Raw genomic sequence first — 15,561 nt, 5'->3', positions numbered from 1 at the left:
CTCCAAGGTGATGTAGGCGAACTCCATGGTACAAGGCAAAAGACCTCCAGAGTAGGTGCAGGATTCAGGCCAGCATGAGAGGAATGTCCCTCCACCCCTCACAGTTCTACACTTTAGGAAACTCTCATCCTTTAGGCAGCAGAGATACACAGGAAGGGCTAAGATGGGCTGCTGTCACAGGGAGAGCCGGCAGCCTCAGAGGGAACTGAGACGATTGCTGGTTAAAAGTCTCTGCGTGGGTCTGTTGGGTGGCTTTGGGTAAAAGGACTCCCGCGGTCAGATGTGGTGGCTCACGCCTGTAATCCCAGCACTTTGGGAAGCCGAGGTGGGTGATGGTTTGAGCTCAGGAGTTTGAGACCAGCCTGGGCAACATGGTGAAACTCTGTCTCTACAAAAAATACAAAAAATTAGCCAGGTGTGGTGGCACATGCCTGTGGTCTCAGCTGCTCGGGAGGCTGAAGTGGGAGGATCACTTGAGCCTGGGAAGTCGAGGCTGCAGTGACCTCCGACTGCACCACTGAACTCCAGCCTGAGCAACAGAGCCAGGCTCTGTCTCGAAAAAACAAACAAAAAAAGGGACTTCTGCCAGAAGGCCCTTGAAGTGATATAAACATAGTTGGCAGTAAAAAAAAAATTATAATTAATTGCCCAGGGCAGGTCACACACACACACACACACACACACACACACACCCTAATAAAACAGAAATCAGAAACTAATGATTTTATTTTCTCTTTAATTTTTTTCATTTTCACATTTTCATTTTGTTTTAAAAATTTTACTTTTTTCAATATAAGAAGAATTAATAACCGACCTGTCGTCAAGGTAACCAATATTAATAGCTTGGCATGTCCACCTTTCTATCTTTTTTTAATTCAAACTTTTTGGGGGGTGTCACTGTTGCCTTTGCAAAAAGGAGATTATAATATGAACATTTCTTTGCACCTTGACTTTCATTCTACAATACATCCTGTCCTCTTTCTAGATCGACAGATTTTTTTTTTCTTTTTGAGACAAGATCTCACTCTGTCGCATAAGCCGAAGTGCATTGGTGCACTCTTGGCTTACTGCAACCTCTGTTTCCCGGGTTCAAGTGATCCCCCCAGTTCAGCCTCCTAAATAGTTGGGACTACAGGTGCATGCCATCAACACAGCTAATTTTTTTTTTTTTTTTTTTTTTTTTGTATTTTTGTAGAGACGGGATTTCACCAAGTTGCCCAGGCTGGTCTCAAACTCCTGAGCTCAAGCCGTCCACCCAGCTTGGCCTCCCAAAGTGCTGGGATTACAGGTGTGAGCCACTGCACCCAGTCAACAGATATTCTCAATTTGTTCATTTTTGTTGGTACATAACATTCCAGAGAGTGGATCAACCACAGTTAATTCAATCACTTAGTTATAAACAGACATTCAAGTTTTTCCTAGTGATTTTGTCACTACAAATAAGTCTGTAGTGCTCTAATGTTCTACTATAATTATGTATTATTTATTTTAGAAAAACATTTAAAATATATTAATGAAAGAGATTAAAAGAAAGATAATTAAACTATGAAGCTGGGAAGCCCTATACTATATAATACTATACAGTCAATGATTTTGAATGAATACATAGATGAATGTACTAAAATGTTACCTGGGAATGTGGCTCCATGCCATTTGTCTCTTGCAATAATGATCTTTTCATTGCAGTCTATGTCTCCCAATGCACACTGCAAAGGCCTTAAGATCAGGAACTAGGCCTTTCTTCCTTGGCTCCTCCAAAGCTCGGAGCATAGCCGTGCCAAAGGCAAACAGTCCCAGGCCCACACATCCCAGGGTGCTCTAACAGTTTCTTCTAAAAAATAGCAGTTTAGACTTCAGAATGAAATTTTCCCAAGTATACAATGTTATAAACTGGTGTATTCTCATGCCAGCCCACAAACCCTTCTTTTAACCCATAATGAAGCTGAACTATGTACTTATAATATTACAGTTTCTTATTATTTCTGTGGGAAAAAATGTTCTGAATTCCAAATGAGGATCTGGGCAGAAGAGCCCTCCTCTACTCTGTGTGCGTGTGTGTCTGCGTGTGTGTCTGCGTGTGTGTGTCTGTGTGTCTCGTGTGTGTCTGTGTGTGTGTGTGTCTGCGTGTGTGTGAGAGACAGAGAAGGGGAGAGATCCTTTCCGTCATTGCCCTCAAACAAGATATTCTTGTCTTTCCTCTTCTGCCGATCTGGCTGGGTATGGACATTGAGCAAGTGAAGTAGGCAATATGATAAGTAAATATGAAAGTGCCGGAAAGAAAGCCGAAGAACAAATTTAACATAGATGTCTGATGTTTTTCTTTGAGTCCTCATTCATTTTTGAGATTTAAGAATTTGAATTTGATTGCTAAGAATATAGTAATTGAAATTTAATGTAAGCGAAATGAAATTTACAATTAGAGAAGACACTTTAGTTGTTACACATTTCTCAGAATTCTTAAGTATATTTAAAACATGATATTCATCAAAACAAAATGTTATTTAGATACTTATGATGAGCATGGGATGTATGATTTATTAATAGCTATTGAGCTGGTCACACATTAATTGATACATTATTTTTATACTTTGGGAGCACTGAATCCCAGAAAGTTTGTTCTTATATGTTATTATAAGTTCCTTTGGAGAGTCAGTATTTGAACTGCTAAGGTAAAAACAAATACTTCTAAAAAGGAAGTATTTTGATGAAATGAAAGACTGGGAGAAACTATACAGCATTTGTAGGAAAAAATTATCATCTATCTAGATTTAAAAATTCTTAAAAGACATGTTAATCAGTGCTTTCTGTTTTGAAGCATGGTAGAAAAAACAGCTAGGCATTACAGCCAGTGAATATAAAAAATCATAAGCATATCAGGAAATAGGTTCTGAAATCACCTATAAAATTATGTAATATTTTGTCTTTTTTTTTTTTGGAGACGAGTCTTTCACTGTTGCCCAGGCTGGAGTGCAGTGGTGCGATCTTGGCTCACTGCAACCTCCACCTCCCAGGTTCAAGTGATTCTCCTGCCTCAGCCTCCAAGTAGCTGGGATTACTTACAGGCACCCACCACTATGTCCAGCTAATTTTTTGTATTTTTGTGTTTTTAGTAGAGACGGGTTTTTTTTTTTTTTATTTTGTTTTTTGTGAGACGGAATCTCACTCTGTTGCCCAGGCTAGAGTGCAGTAGCGTTATCTTGGCTCACTGCAAGCTCTGCCTCCCGGGTTCATGCCATTCTCCTGCCTTAGCCTCCCAAGTAGCTGGGACTACAGGCGCCCGCCACCACGCCTGGCTAATTTTTTTTTGTATTTTTAGTAGAGACAGGATTTCACCGTGGTCTCGATCTCCTGACCTCATGATCCGCCCCCCTCAGCCTCCCAGAGTGCTGGGATTATAGGAGTGAGCCACCACGCCTGGCCGAGGCAGGCTTTCACTGTTGGCCAGGCTGGTCCTCAAACTCCTGACCTCGTGATCCACCCTCTTTGGCCTCCCAAAGTGCTGGGACTACAGGCATGAGCCACTGCGCCCGGCCAGCATTTTGTCTTAATAAAAGTCAAATCTCTTCTCAAAAATGTTAACTTTCCAATAGGAAAAAGAATCACCCATAGCCCATCACTCAGAGACACCCACTGTTAATGTTTTGATGTACTTCCCTGTGGTTTCATGTATGTGCCCATCTTTACGGTGGTCATACTCTGTTCCTTTTACTCTCAATGTATAGCAGAAATATTTCCAACTAACATGCTTAAGTTCATAATCGGCAAAAGTATCAACAAATGAAAAGATATCTGTGTGGTAAGATATTTCTAAGCATTGTGAGAGATGATAGAATGAGGGATAACATTCCTCCAATTTCTCCATCAGCAAAAAAGGTTTGTCAGAAACTGTCATAACAGTGTGACATCCACTGCACACATTGTGAAACAAGCGGCCATAATGCTGTTGGTTGTGTGGAGTCTGGATAAGTAAGTAACAAGGAGGAAGGGGCCCCATGTTGGGGAGGGCCCCAAGTGGAGAAGAACAATGAACAGTTGGGAGAGATGGCTAATCACAAACATCGGTGGGCACAACGACATCTGTTTTGTAGGTAGCCCTTCCAGCATGACCCTATTAGACTTCCCTCCAGCCTGTTTCTTTGCAGACAGCCCCTTCTCTGCTGTGCTGCCTGTTGCAACCTTGCAACATATTTTCATACTTTTTTCATACTTTCTCTAAAAAATCTGCCTTTTTTTTTTTTTTTACCTACAACTATCCTGGTAAATCCTTTACCAACTGTGAAGACTGCCCTGGCTAGTAGCACCCGTGGCACATTCTACATCATTGGAAAGACCAAAAGATCTTATCAAGATAGGAAATACAACTAAAGAAAAGTGGAGGCATTTTGAGCATAGTTTGACGATGATGGCCCTGTAATGTGGGTATCTCATAAGTGGCTGGCTCTGCCTGGCTGCCCAACACAATCTTGCTAACTAAGGTGATGCTGGCCAAGCCTTCTCCTGTTTGCAGTACTGTTTCTTCTCTCCTTCAGTCTTACAGCATTTCAGTCATGTTTGGCTGCATTTTCTTTCTTCTCTCCAATTATTTGAAATGAAGTGAAACTAATAGTTGATATTAAAGACTTTGATTTTTTTTCCTATATTTTTAAGCAACATAATCTTTTTCCTAAATGACATCCTACCCAGAACTTCAATATGTAAGACAGAAAAAAGCAGACCTTCTTTGTTTGGAAAGGAGCGGTGCCTAAAGCCAGAATCCACAGTTTCAGGTTGAGAAAATATATGACGGGCTGTTGAAACCAGTATTTTCTTTCAAATTACAGCACATTCAAATTTTACTTATGCTGATTGTTTTGCCAACAAAAATTCAGTTTCGCAGAAACCATTTATCACATAAGGAGTTTCTGATGGAAAAATCTGAAAATTTTTAGAAATCAAAAAAGTGCTGGCCAGGCGCAGTGGCTTACACCTGTAATCCCAGCACTTTGGGAGGCAGAGGTGGGCGGATCACGAGGTCAAGAGATCAAGACCATGGTGAAACCCTGTCTCTATTAAAAATACAAAAAATTAGCCGGGCATGGTGGCATGTGCCTGTAGTCCCAGCTACTCGGGAGGCTGAGGCAGGAGAATGGCATTAACCTGGCAGGCGGAGCTTGCAGCGAGCCGAGATAGTGCCACTGCACTCCAGCCTGGGCAACAGAGCGAGACTCCGTCTCAAAAAAAAAAAAAAGTGAATACATTTGAAACCATTACAAGTTTGAAATGAATGTTGGTTTTGTGGTGACACAATCTCTGAAAATTATTACTGTTCATTCAAGATGGAATGAGGAAAATAGTGTGTGCCTGAAATCCACAGTTGAATATACTTCTTCTTCTTTTTTTTGAGACAAGGTCTTGCTCTGTTGCCCAGGCTAGAGTACTGTGACACCACTGAAACCGACCCAATAGTTCCATAGACAGTTTTTTTCTTGGAAAACCGTATCAATTGATCCTTCTGGTCTTAAAGCTTGAAATTTACATTTGTTTTATCTGAGCTTCTTCCTCAGGAAAGGACCTCCAGGTCTGGCAAAAAGTACCTAAGAACTGAAACTTACCAGCTAATCATATCCAGACAATGAGATGCCAGGCCCTCATTCATCATGATTGCTTCCTTGCCCCTCCCTAGTTCCTGCTTTCTTACACATTATTACACATCTTCCCTGCTACATAAACCCCTAATTTTAGTGGCCAGGGAGATGGATTTAAGACTGATCTCCCATCTCCTTGGCTGCAACACCCGATGAAAGCCTTCTTCCTTGGCAATAATTGTTGCTTAGTGATTGGTGATTGGCTTTCTGTGAGGTGAGCAGCGGGACCTAGACTGAACCCCTGGCATTTTGGGGACATGGTCACGGCTCACTGCAGCTTTGAACTCCTGGGCTCAATAAATCCTCCCATCTAAGCCTCCCATGTAGCTGAGACCACAGGCTCGAGCCACCACGCCCAGCTGATTTTTGTAATTTTTTTGTAGAGACGGGGTCTATCTGTGTTGCTCAGGCTGGTCTCGAACTCCTGGTCTCAAGCAATCCTCTTGCCTTGGCCTCCCAAGTGCTGGGATTATACACGCGAACCATCACACACACCTGGCCTGGCCTAGCTTGTTTTTTTTTTTTCTTTTTAAAGTTGTTGTGTATTTGTGTGGGCGTGTTTGGTAAAAGAACATTAATTAATTTTATTTATTTGTGGAAATGGAAATTGGAGAGAAAGTTAAAGGGGAATAAATATTTTGACTTAGGAATTCAAAAATAGAATTAAAAAGACTGAATTGTTTTAGAGTGTTACAAATGTGTCATGCAATAGACTGAGAGGGCAATAAAGAACAGTTGAAAATTCCTCTAAGAAATCAACGACTTGGCAGGTGCAGTGGCTCACACCTGTAATCCCAACATCTTGGGAGGCTGAGGTAGGAGGATCATTTAAGGCCAGAAGTCTGAAACCAGCCTGGACAACATAGTGAGACTCTGTCCCTACAAAAAATAAGAAAATTATCCAGGCATGGTGGTGCACACCTCTGGTTCCATCTACTCAGGTGGTTGAGGCAGGAGGATTGCTTGAACCCAGAAGTTAAAGGCTGCAGTGAGCTGTGATTGTGCCATTGCACTCCAGCCTGGGTGACAGGGAAAGACCCTGACTCTAAAAAACTTTTAAAAAAATCAACAACTGAAGAAATTCTTGCATTTCATTGATGTTGCAGAGACAACTGGGAAATGTATAGTGTCAGTTTTTAAAACCACAAGTCGATCTTATTTAGAACCCTTTAAAGTCTTCCTATTGCTCTTAAAATAAAATGCAAACCCCTTATTCTGGTGTCTCCCACCTGTTCACCACATCCCTGTCCTCTTTCTGTCACACAACTCTGAAATCAGTCATTTCCTGTCTGTTCCCAGAATATTGCCAGACCCTCTTGCTTCCCAGACCTCTGGCCCCACTCTTTCCTCTGCTTCGGTGAAGTTGGTACCTGTGGAGGGTCGAATTGTGTTCTCCTCCTGCAAATTCATATGCTGAAGTCCCAACTCCCAGTACCTCAGAACATGGTCTTATTTGGACATAGGTTAGTTGGAGATATAATTAGTTAAAATGAGGTCCTATGGGAATAGGGTGGGCTCCTTATCCAATACGATCAATATAAGTGTCCTTATCAAAAAAGGAAATGTGGGCCGGGCGCGGTGGCTCACGCCTATAATTCTGGCACTCTGGGAGGCCGAGGTGGAGGGATCATGAGGTCAGGGGATCGAGACCATCCTTGCTAACACGGTGAAACCCCGTCTCTACTAAAAATAGAAAAAATTAGCTGGACGTGGTGGCGGGCTCCTGTAGTCCCAGCTACTTGGGAGGCTGAGGCAGGAGAATGGCGTGAACCTGGGAGGCAGAGCTTGCAGTGAGCCAAGATCGGGCCACTGCATTCCAGCCTGGGCGACAGAGCAAGATTCAGTCTCAAAAAAAAAAAAAAAAAAAAAAAAAAAAGGAAATGTGGACACAGACACATGTGCAGGGAGAACACCACATAACCATCAAGACAGAGATTGGGGTGATGCATTTACAAGCCAAAGAATGCCCAAGCATGCTGGCAAACCACCAGAAGCCAGGAGGTGTGGAAGTCTCCCCCACAGCCTTGAGAAGGAACCAACTCTGTAGATGCCTTGTTCTCAGACTTCCAGCCTCCATAACTATAAGACAATAAATTTTGGTTATTTAGGCCACTCAGTTGTGGGACTTTCTTATGGCAGCCTTGACAAACTAATACAGGACTACATCATTCTTCACGTCTTGGCTTAAATCTCATTTCCTCAGAGCAAGCTTCTTGACCACCTAGTTGACACAGCATTTTCTACCAAAGCGCCTGTTGATTTCCTTCAGAGCACTGAGACAAACCTGTGACTATTGTGTTGGTTTGCTTGTTTATTTGTCTGTTGCCTTCACCTTCACTAGAGCATCAGGGGCATGGGCGCAGGGGTCTTGTCTGGCTCTTGCTTTCTTCACAGCAGCTCTCAGAGTGCCTGGAGCATCCCAGTGCTCAATAAACATGGAGGGTAAATGACGCCAAGATGCATCAAAGGTTAAGGAGAATGCGCCAAGAGCTGTGTACGTGAATTGCCATGCACATTTGGTATTTAGCAGAGATAAAGTTTTTTAAGGAAGTGAGAACATTTCTAAATGTTCTCAATCCTTTGTTTTATGACACTCTGCTGTCTTTCTGACTGGCGAATTTCCAAACATTTTCAAATAGAATAAAGGTGTATTATTCAGAATGCTATGAAGTTTGGGAAGGAAGAGAACACACTGAACATCATCATGCTTCATACGCTGAGACCAAAGGCTTACAGAGAAATGGTGAAAGTTGCAGCAAATGAGCAAAGAACCTGAATAGACATTTTCCATACAAGACATACAAATGGCCAACAGGTGTATGCAAAAGTGCTCGACATCATGAATCATCAGAGAAATGCAAATCAAAATCACAATGAGATATATCTCCCTCCTGTTAGAAGGGCTATAAAAGGGAACCTTTGCACACTTGGTGGGAATATAGACTGTTGCAGCCATTATGGAAAACAGTATGGAGGTGCCTCCAAAAATTAAAATGGAATTACCATTAGAATGAGACTACCAAATGGAACCACCATGCGATCCAGCAATCCCACTTCTGGGTACATATCAAAAGGAAATAAAATCAATATCCTGAGGAGATGTCTGCTCCCTTATATTCACTGCGGCGTTATTTCCAATAGCCAAGACGTGGAAACAGCCCAAGTGTCCACCAATAGATGAACAGATAAAGAAACTGTGGTTCATATATACAATGGAATATTATTCAACCATAAAAAGAGAAAGAAATCCTATCTCATTGGCAACATGGATGAACTTGGGAGACATTATGCTAAGTAAAATAAGCCAGACACAGAAAGACAAATATTGTGTGGTTTCACTTACATGTGGAATCTATAAATGTTAAACTCAGAGAAGCAGAAAGTAAAATGGTGGTTGCCAGTGACTGGAAGTGGAATGGAGAGATGTTAGTCAAAAGATACAAAACGTTTAGTTATGTATAATATCAATATGTTGTGGGAGCTGATCATAGCAGGGCGAGTGGCGGATGTTTTAATTCATTTGTGGTAATTGTTACACAATATATGTGTATCAAATAATCATGTTGTTTACTTTGAATATGTTCAATCTTTATTTGACAATTACATATTTTATTTTTACTTACTTTAAATAAATTTCTTTATTTATTTATTTACAGATAGGGCCTCCTTCTGTCACCCAGTCTGGAGTTCAGTGGCATGATTATAGCTCACTGCAGACTTGAACACCTGGTCTCAAGGGAACCTCCTGCCTCAGCCTTTCAAGTAGCTAGGACTATAGGTGCACGCTACCACACCCTCTTAATTTTTTTTTTTTTTTTGTGTGTGTGTGTGTAGACAGTCTCGCTATATTTCCCAGGCTGGTTTTGAAATCCTGTCCTCAAGTGATCCTCCTGCCTTGACCTTCCAAAGCTCTGAGATTACAGGAATGAGCCACCATGCCTGGCTGACAATTAAATATTTTAAAATAAGAAAACAAATATAACAATATTAAAAATTTCTTCAAATATACAGATGACCAGTGAACCAAGTAGTCTCCTAAATTTAGGTTACAAATTTGAAATTTATTCTTTAAAATATCTTCAATACCTGAAACTATTATAGTAATTGCTCTGCAGAACGTCAAGGCAAAGCTATAGACACCATGTCCCTCTGTCTTTAAAGGTAAAAGGACTACTTTATAGTTTGTCACCATAGAGAAATAAGGAATATTTCACATATTCCACAGCCATTTGGGAAATTATGCCAAAAAACACTTCATGAAGTTTTCAAAGTTGAAAGCCTTCCTTTGGGAAAGGAAAAACACACGCACGCACGCACACACACACGCACACACACAGACACACAAACACACAGAGATGCACACACACACAGACATAGACACACACACACACACACACACACAGACACACACAGAAATCCAGGCAATTTTAGAGAATGTGTTTTCCCTTCAGAACAGGGCAGAATGAGTATCACCCAAAACTGAGCAATGTATTACTCAATGTAAACTCATGATTTTCAGAAAATAGTTGCAACAAAATGACCCCCACTTCCTAGTTTCTTGTAAAATGGAAGGAACCATTACATAAAGTAACAGTCAAACATGCTCAAGAATTTTTCAACTTGAGGCCAATGACCTTTGAACTTTGACTGATGGTTTTTTCAATCCCATTGCTGTTCTATTGCCGCAAAAAATTTAACTTGGCTGTGTGTTTATTCAACTTGGACTTCACAATAATGTTCTTTGCAACTCAGGACTGTTAATCTGTGGCTTTTGTATTGGCAACTGTTCTGGCAAGGGTGGAACCCTCGTTTTCCATGACTTTCTAACCTCCTGAATTGCAGCACCTTGGAGGGGAGCTCCAGTGGCCAAGACAGAAGTGGTCCCAGTGATTCTGGGGAGAAAACTGAGCATCTGCTTGCAGACCTGGGGCTCCTGATTAAATCATAGCTATAAATACTTAGGTTTTCATTTATATGCCTTCATGTTACACATTCCTAAGTTGCATGTACAGTTCTGAAGGCTGTGATTACAGGTGGAGATGATGTCGGTGCCATTACTGGGATGCCACAGTGGAAATCAACATGTCAACCTACAAGACTGTAAGAAAACGTCTTAGAAGGCTGGCACTTTCATTCATTTGGTTCACTGCTGTATCCCTAGTGCTGGGAAATGTTCCTGAGCACTCAACAGATTTTATTTGAATGATCATTTTATGAAACTTTGTTTCAATTTTAGGAAACTAAGTTAAAAACCCATTTGAAAGGGGTCAACTTTGAATGTGTCTTTACATTTCTTCCTTAGTTAAGATCCACTCAAGGAGAGATCCGGCACTATTGTGCTCAAGTAATATTGTCTGCACCCGACTCCCCTGAAAAGAAATGAGTCCTGAGGCAGCCAGGCAGATCTTTTAGGATATTCCATCCCACAGGTGAAATACAAACATGCTTCATCCAGGAGATGACTCTAGTTTCACTATAAAAGACCCTTCAACTTTTTTCACGTTAGACTGAAGTGTTTGGTCAGATTTCCTCAGTATGACAAAGGTTACTCTTTTTTTTTTTTTTTTTTTTTGAGATGGAGTCTCGCTCTGGCTCTGTCGCCCAGGCTGGAGTGCAGTGGTGTGATCTCGGCTCACTGCAAGCTCCACCTCCCGGGTTCATGTCGTTCTCCTGCCTCAGCTTCCCGAGTAGCTGGGACTACAGGCGCCCACCACCACGCCCGGCTAATTTTTGTATTTTTAGTAGAGACGGGTTTTCACCGTGTTAGCCAGGATGTTCTCGATCTCCTGACCTCATGATCCACCCGCTTCGGCCTCCCAAAGTGCTGGGATTACAGGCGTGAGCCACTGAGCCTACTTTCTTACCCAGGCTTCCAAAAAGGCTGGAGTTTCCACAGAGATTTATTACTATATGCATCTCATCAAAGGGCTAAGATACTTCTTGACTGTGTATATCAGTACCATGTGGCTGTTTTGGTTCATTTGTACATTTTTGGTTTGCAGTGACATGTCATCAAGGGCCTAAGAACAGAAATTCATTCTGTCTATGTTTTATGAGTTTAGGGGCCTGGAAAATTGCAAGCAACACCCATGCTTCAGGGAGGCCCCAGGACTCAGGAAAGGGGGCAGTCTGTGAGTCCTCCCAGTTTCCCAGCTAATCAATGAAGTGAACAGTGCAAGGCTGTGGAAAAGATGTTCTCTCTGACTTGGGACATGTATAATTTGTTGCACCTGAGACATGTGTAGGAGTTAATGTGGTCAGAGCTCAGAAGTTACAGATTTTGGAGTCATCAGCAAATAGTGATATCTGAAGCCCTGGGCGTGGAGGAGAACACCCAAAGATAAAGCATGTAGAATGAGAAAATAAGAGGGTTGAGGATAGAATGCCTGGAAACACCATAATTTAGGGGGCTGGCAGCAGACGAGGAACCGGCCAAGAACTAGAATAGGACAGCAGGCTGTCACATGGGCATCGTGGAGAGCAGCCTGCACAGTCAGCATTCTTAAATCCTACACACAGACAGAGGAGATGCGGATTGGAAACGGTCCCTTAGAAAGATCACTAGAAGGAAATACATAAAAATATCCACAGGTCTATTCCTGACTAGTGAGATGTCAGGTGGCTTATGTTCTTCTCTCACCATTCTTGCATCTTCCAAATTCTGTACAAGAAACATTAATTACATTTATATTAAAAAGCTATTAAAATATAAAACAAGGCTCTGATCAAGTCTAAAATATTTTATGAGAGCCTGATGAAAAGAGCAAGTAATTATTAATTCACAAGTATTTCAGTGCCTGTGTGCTGGGCACCATGCTAAAGATAAAACAATGAACAAGAGGACAGCTCTGTTGTTTGACAAAAAGGAGCGGAGGCTGGTTTGGCAAGGGAGGGATGTAGGGCTTGTGGGACACAATGGCAGGAGATGAGGCTGGAAAGGTCGTTTGGTGCCAGATTACAATGGACTTTATGTGTCTTGTCAAATAATATGGTCTTTATTCTGAAGGCTACAGAGAGGCTTTTGAGGGGGGCAGTGTTAGGTTTGGAATTGTGCTTTACCTGAAGTTAATTTTCGACTGGATTTTGGCAGTAGTGTGGCTGCTGGCCTGGGGGAGTCCAAGCAGGAGACCAGGAGCACAGGCAGCAGGCAAGTGCAGTAACTGAATGAAGGCAGTGCCCTGAGCACGGGCCAGGCCCAGAGATATTTAGGGGTAGCGTCAATAGGATATGACTGATTGGATGTATGTTGCACGAAGTAGGGCATTAAGAAAAAAAAGGAACAACAAACTTCTTCCTGCTTATCAAAGACCATAATGAGGGCAATGGCCTTTCCTGAAACACGTTCCTTGGGAAGTCAAGCATGAGCATCACAATAGTTTGGAAGCTATCTGCACCCAGCAAGTGAGTTTCCAGTTAGCCTCACGCATGGCAATAGGTGCTTAGGATGCAGGATGCAGGTTCGTGGCCCCGGCCCTGTCTGGCTCCCCTGAAATCACACCACAGAGGCAGCTGCCTTTCGTAAACACAAGGCAGGCAGTGTTAGCTGGTCCAACTAGACCTCATTCTTTCTTTCACCTGGGGCCTGTGCACGGAGGCTGCTGACATGAGTGGACTCCCACGTGTGTGGTGAACGAGAAGTTCAAAGTGACACTTTGCATTCTTCCCTTCTTCTCCACTCTCCTCTTCCCGCTCCAGGAAAAATAAAGGAAGATGATTGTTTTGGTACAGGAAAAAAAAAATGAATACTAGGTTTTTAACTTGTGTCCCGGGTTGGGTAAAGAATGACAACTATTCTATAGTTTGTATAGACTTTCCCTTAGTGGTCATTGCTATATGACATAAGAAAGTCAGTGCCTGGGCCAGGCACTGTCACAGGCCTGTAGTCCCAGCTACTTGGGAGGTTGAAGCAGGAGGATCGCTTAAGGCCAGGAGTTCAAGGTTACAGTAAGCTATGATAGCACAACCTGAGTGACAGAGCAAGACCCTCTCTTTTTTTTTTTTTTTTTTTTTTGAGACAGAGTTTCGCTCTTGTTGCCCAGGCTGGAGTGCAATGGCACAATCTCGGCTCACCACAACCTGCGCCTCCTGGGTTCAAGCAATTCTCCTGCCTCAGCCTCCCAAGTAGCTGGGATTAGAGGCATGCGCCACCAAACCTGGCTAATTTTGTATTTTTAGTAGAGATGGAGTTTCTCCATGTTGGTCAGGCTGGTCACAAACTCCCGACCTCAGGTGATCCTCCTGCCTTGGCCTCCCAAAATGCTGGGATTACAGGCATGAGCCACTGCACCCGGCCTACCCTGTCTCTTAAAAAAAAAAAAAAGTGAGTATTATAATAGAGGGGATAAGGAATAATGTGTATGTGAGGTCTATTTCTGAGACCAGAGCCACAAAACAGAATCCTGCACCTTAGCCATTTTCTTACCACACGCGTTTTCTTGGATACTTCCATTTTTCCAGTCTATATAATTCAATACTTCTGTGACAGAGAGGTGTTGGAGTTTTTTGTTTTGCTTTTGTTTTTTCGCAACTCTTTACATACAAACAGCTATGGTCTCCCAGGAAGGAACTTCCTCTGTTGAGTACAGAAGTCTGGGAAAAGACTGGTGAAATTGCATGCGAGGAAGAAACAGGTCTAACTAAATGTGAATCTATACTTTTAAAGCAAGGGACCACAAAGGGTAGGTCCCAAGGAAGTTGCATTGCTTGCTGCACTTGTCACACGGGCTGTACTTTCTTCTCTCATTTATTTCCATTTACAGCGTTGAAAACTGAGGCCTTAGGCTTTGGTTGAAAACCGAGGCCAAGGGTGACCAGCCAGTGAGTTAAGGAGGCCCCAGCCGAACTTTGCTGGAAGTGCTCCAGCATAAAGCCTCTCTCCAGAACCAGCCGCCACTGAGACGTCTTGAAGTCAAAGTAACTCACACCCTTGTCCACCTCGCCCTGCGGTGAAGAAACTTCGGTCGCACAGGCTCCAGAACTCATCTTGGCGTGGGCTGTGACTTACTGGGGGATGGGCCTCCTTTTCGTTCTAGCTCCTAAATGGAGCGGAGCGCCAGGTGGTGTCAGAGGGGGCGGCGGCCCCTCCAATGGTGGCACCCTCAGCCACGGATAAGGTTCCAATTAGGTAAGGACGCAAGTAATGCTGTCGTTTCGGCTGACTGCTCCTTTCATTCCTTGGAGGTGGTCGGTGTCACAAAACGAATTTTCATTTACTCTCAACAGTCACACCAGCCCTGCTAACTGGATGGTCGCAGCCCCGTGCCTTCGCCGGACGCCCTCCTGGAACCTTCAGGCCACCCTGAGGATGGAGACTCGGGTGCCCGCTCTCCTCCCCTACCGCCGCGGGCCTGCGCCCCCCGCCCCGGACCCCGACTCGGACGTTCTAGCCGCACGTGCGGGCGCCCCTGGGTGCGAGCCGCGGACTCACGAGCCGCTGCTTGTTGCTCCCGCCGCCGCGACCTGGGGAAGCGAAAATGAAATTGACTTTTCCGAGAAATGATGAAAGCGGCGCTGCCCGCCAATGAGCTGCTGCGGCGAACTTCCGCACCTCCCGGCCGGGCCGCTCGCGCCCTCCCTCCGCCTCCACCTCCCGGTTGCACAAGCTTGAAACAAACACTGGGGAGGAAGGGCGGAGGGAGGAGGGCGGAGAGGGGAGGCGAGGGAGGGAGCGCGGCCGGAGGAGGGCGGGGGGTGGGGGGATTTCCAGCCGCGGCTCTTCGCAGTTTCCTCTCCTTGTTTTGCTTTCGATCTGGACTGTTCTCAGGCAAGCCGGGGAGTAACTTTTAGTTTTGCTCCTGCGATTATTCAACTGACGGGCTTTCATTTCCATTTCACATACCCTAGCAACACTTATACCTTGCGGAATTGTATTGGTAGCGTGAAAAAAGCACACTGAGAGGTAACATTTTTCAAATAATAGTTGTGACTGTGTGTGTTT

At 43.5% G+C, this 15,561-nt stretch overlaps 1 protein-coding gene and 1 long non-coding RNA gene across 2 annotated transcripts in view, besides 3 other annotated features; one reads left to right on the top strand and one right to left on the bottom strand.

Moving 5' to 3' along the window:
- Positions 1-12,596: 12,596 nt before the first annotated feature.
- On the bottom strand, positions 12,597-15,099 carry IRF2-DT (IRF2 divergent transcript). Its single transcript, NR_186573.1, has one exon. It is a non-coding gene; the product is annotated as an IRF2 divergent transcript (long non-coding RNA).
- Positions 14,313-14,642: an enhancer, noted in NCBI's record as "active region_22222". NCBI's record gives its function as "activates an Ori minimal core promoter by ATAC-STARR-seq in GM12878 lymphoblastoid cells {active_cell/tissue: GM12878}" and the evidence as "EXISTENCE:reporter gene assay evidence [ECO:0000049][PMID:35858748]".
- Positions 14,993-15,182: an enhancer, noted in NCBI's record as "active region_22221". NCBI's record gives its function as "activates an Ori minimal core promoter by ATAC-STARR-seq in GM12878 lymphoblastoid cells {active_cell/tissue: GM12878}" and the evidence as "EXISTENCE:reporter gene assay evidence [ECO:0000049][PMID:35858748]".
- Positions 15,213-15,332: a silencer, noted in NCBI's record as "silent region_15839". NCBI's record gives its function as "represses an Ori minimal core promoter by ATAC-STARR-seq in GM12878 lymphoblastoid cells {active_cell/tissue: GM12878}" and the evidence as "EXISTENCE:reporter gene assay evidence [ECO:0000049][PMID:35858748]".
- The window catches only part of IRF2 (interferon regulatory factor 2), an 86,822-nt gene continuing 86,611 nt past the window's right edge, over positions 15,351-15,561 (top strand). Inside the window, exon 1 of the mRNA NM_002199.4 lies at positions 15,351-15,522. The gene's annotated coding sequence lies outside the window, so the exon portion shown is untranslated. The remainder of the gene's footprint in view (positions 15,523-15,561) is intronic.

Source organism: Homo sapiens, chromosome 4 (genome assembly GCF_000001405.40).
Source record: "Homo sapiens chromosome 4, GRCh38.p14 Primary Assembly".
Lineage (NCBI taxonomy): Eukaryota > Metazoa > Chordata > Mammalia > Primates > Hominidae > Homo > Homo sapiens.
Note: the sequence above shows the minus strand (reverse complement) of the source record. Positions and strands in the feature narration are given on the sequence as shown.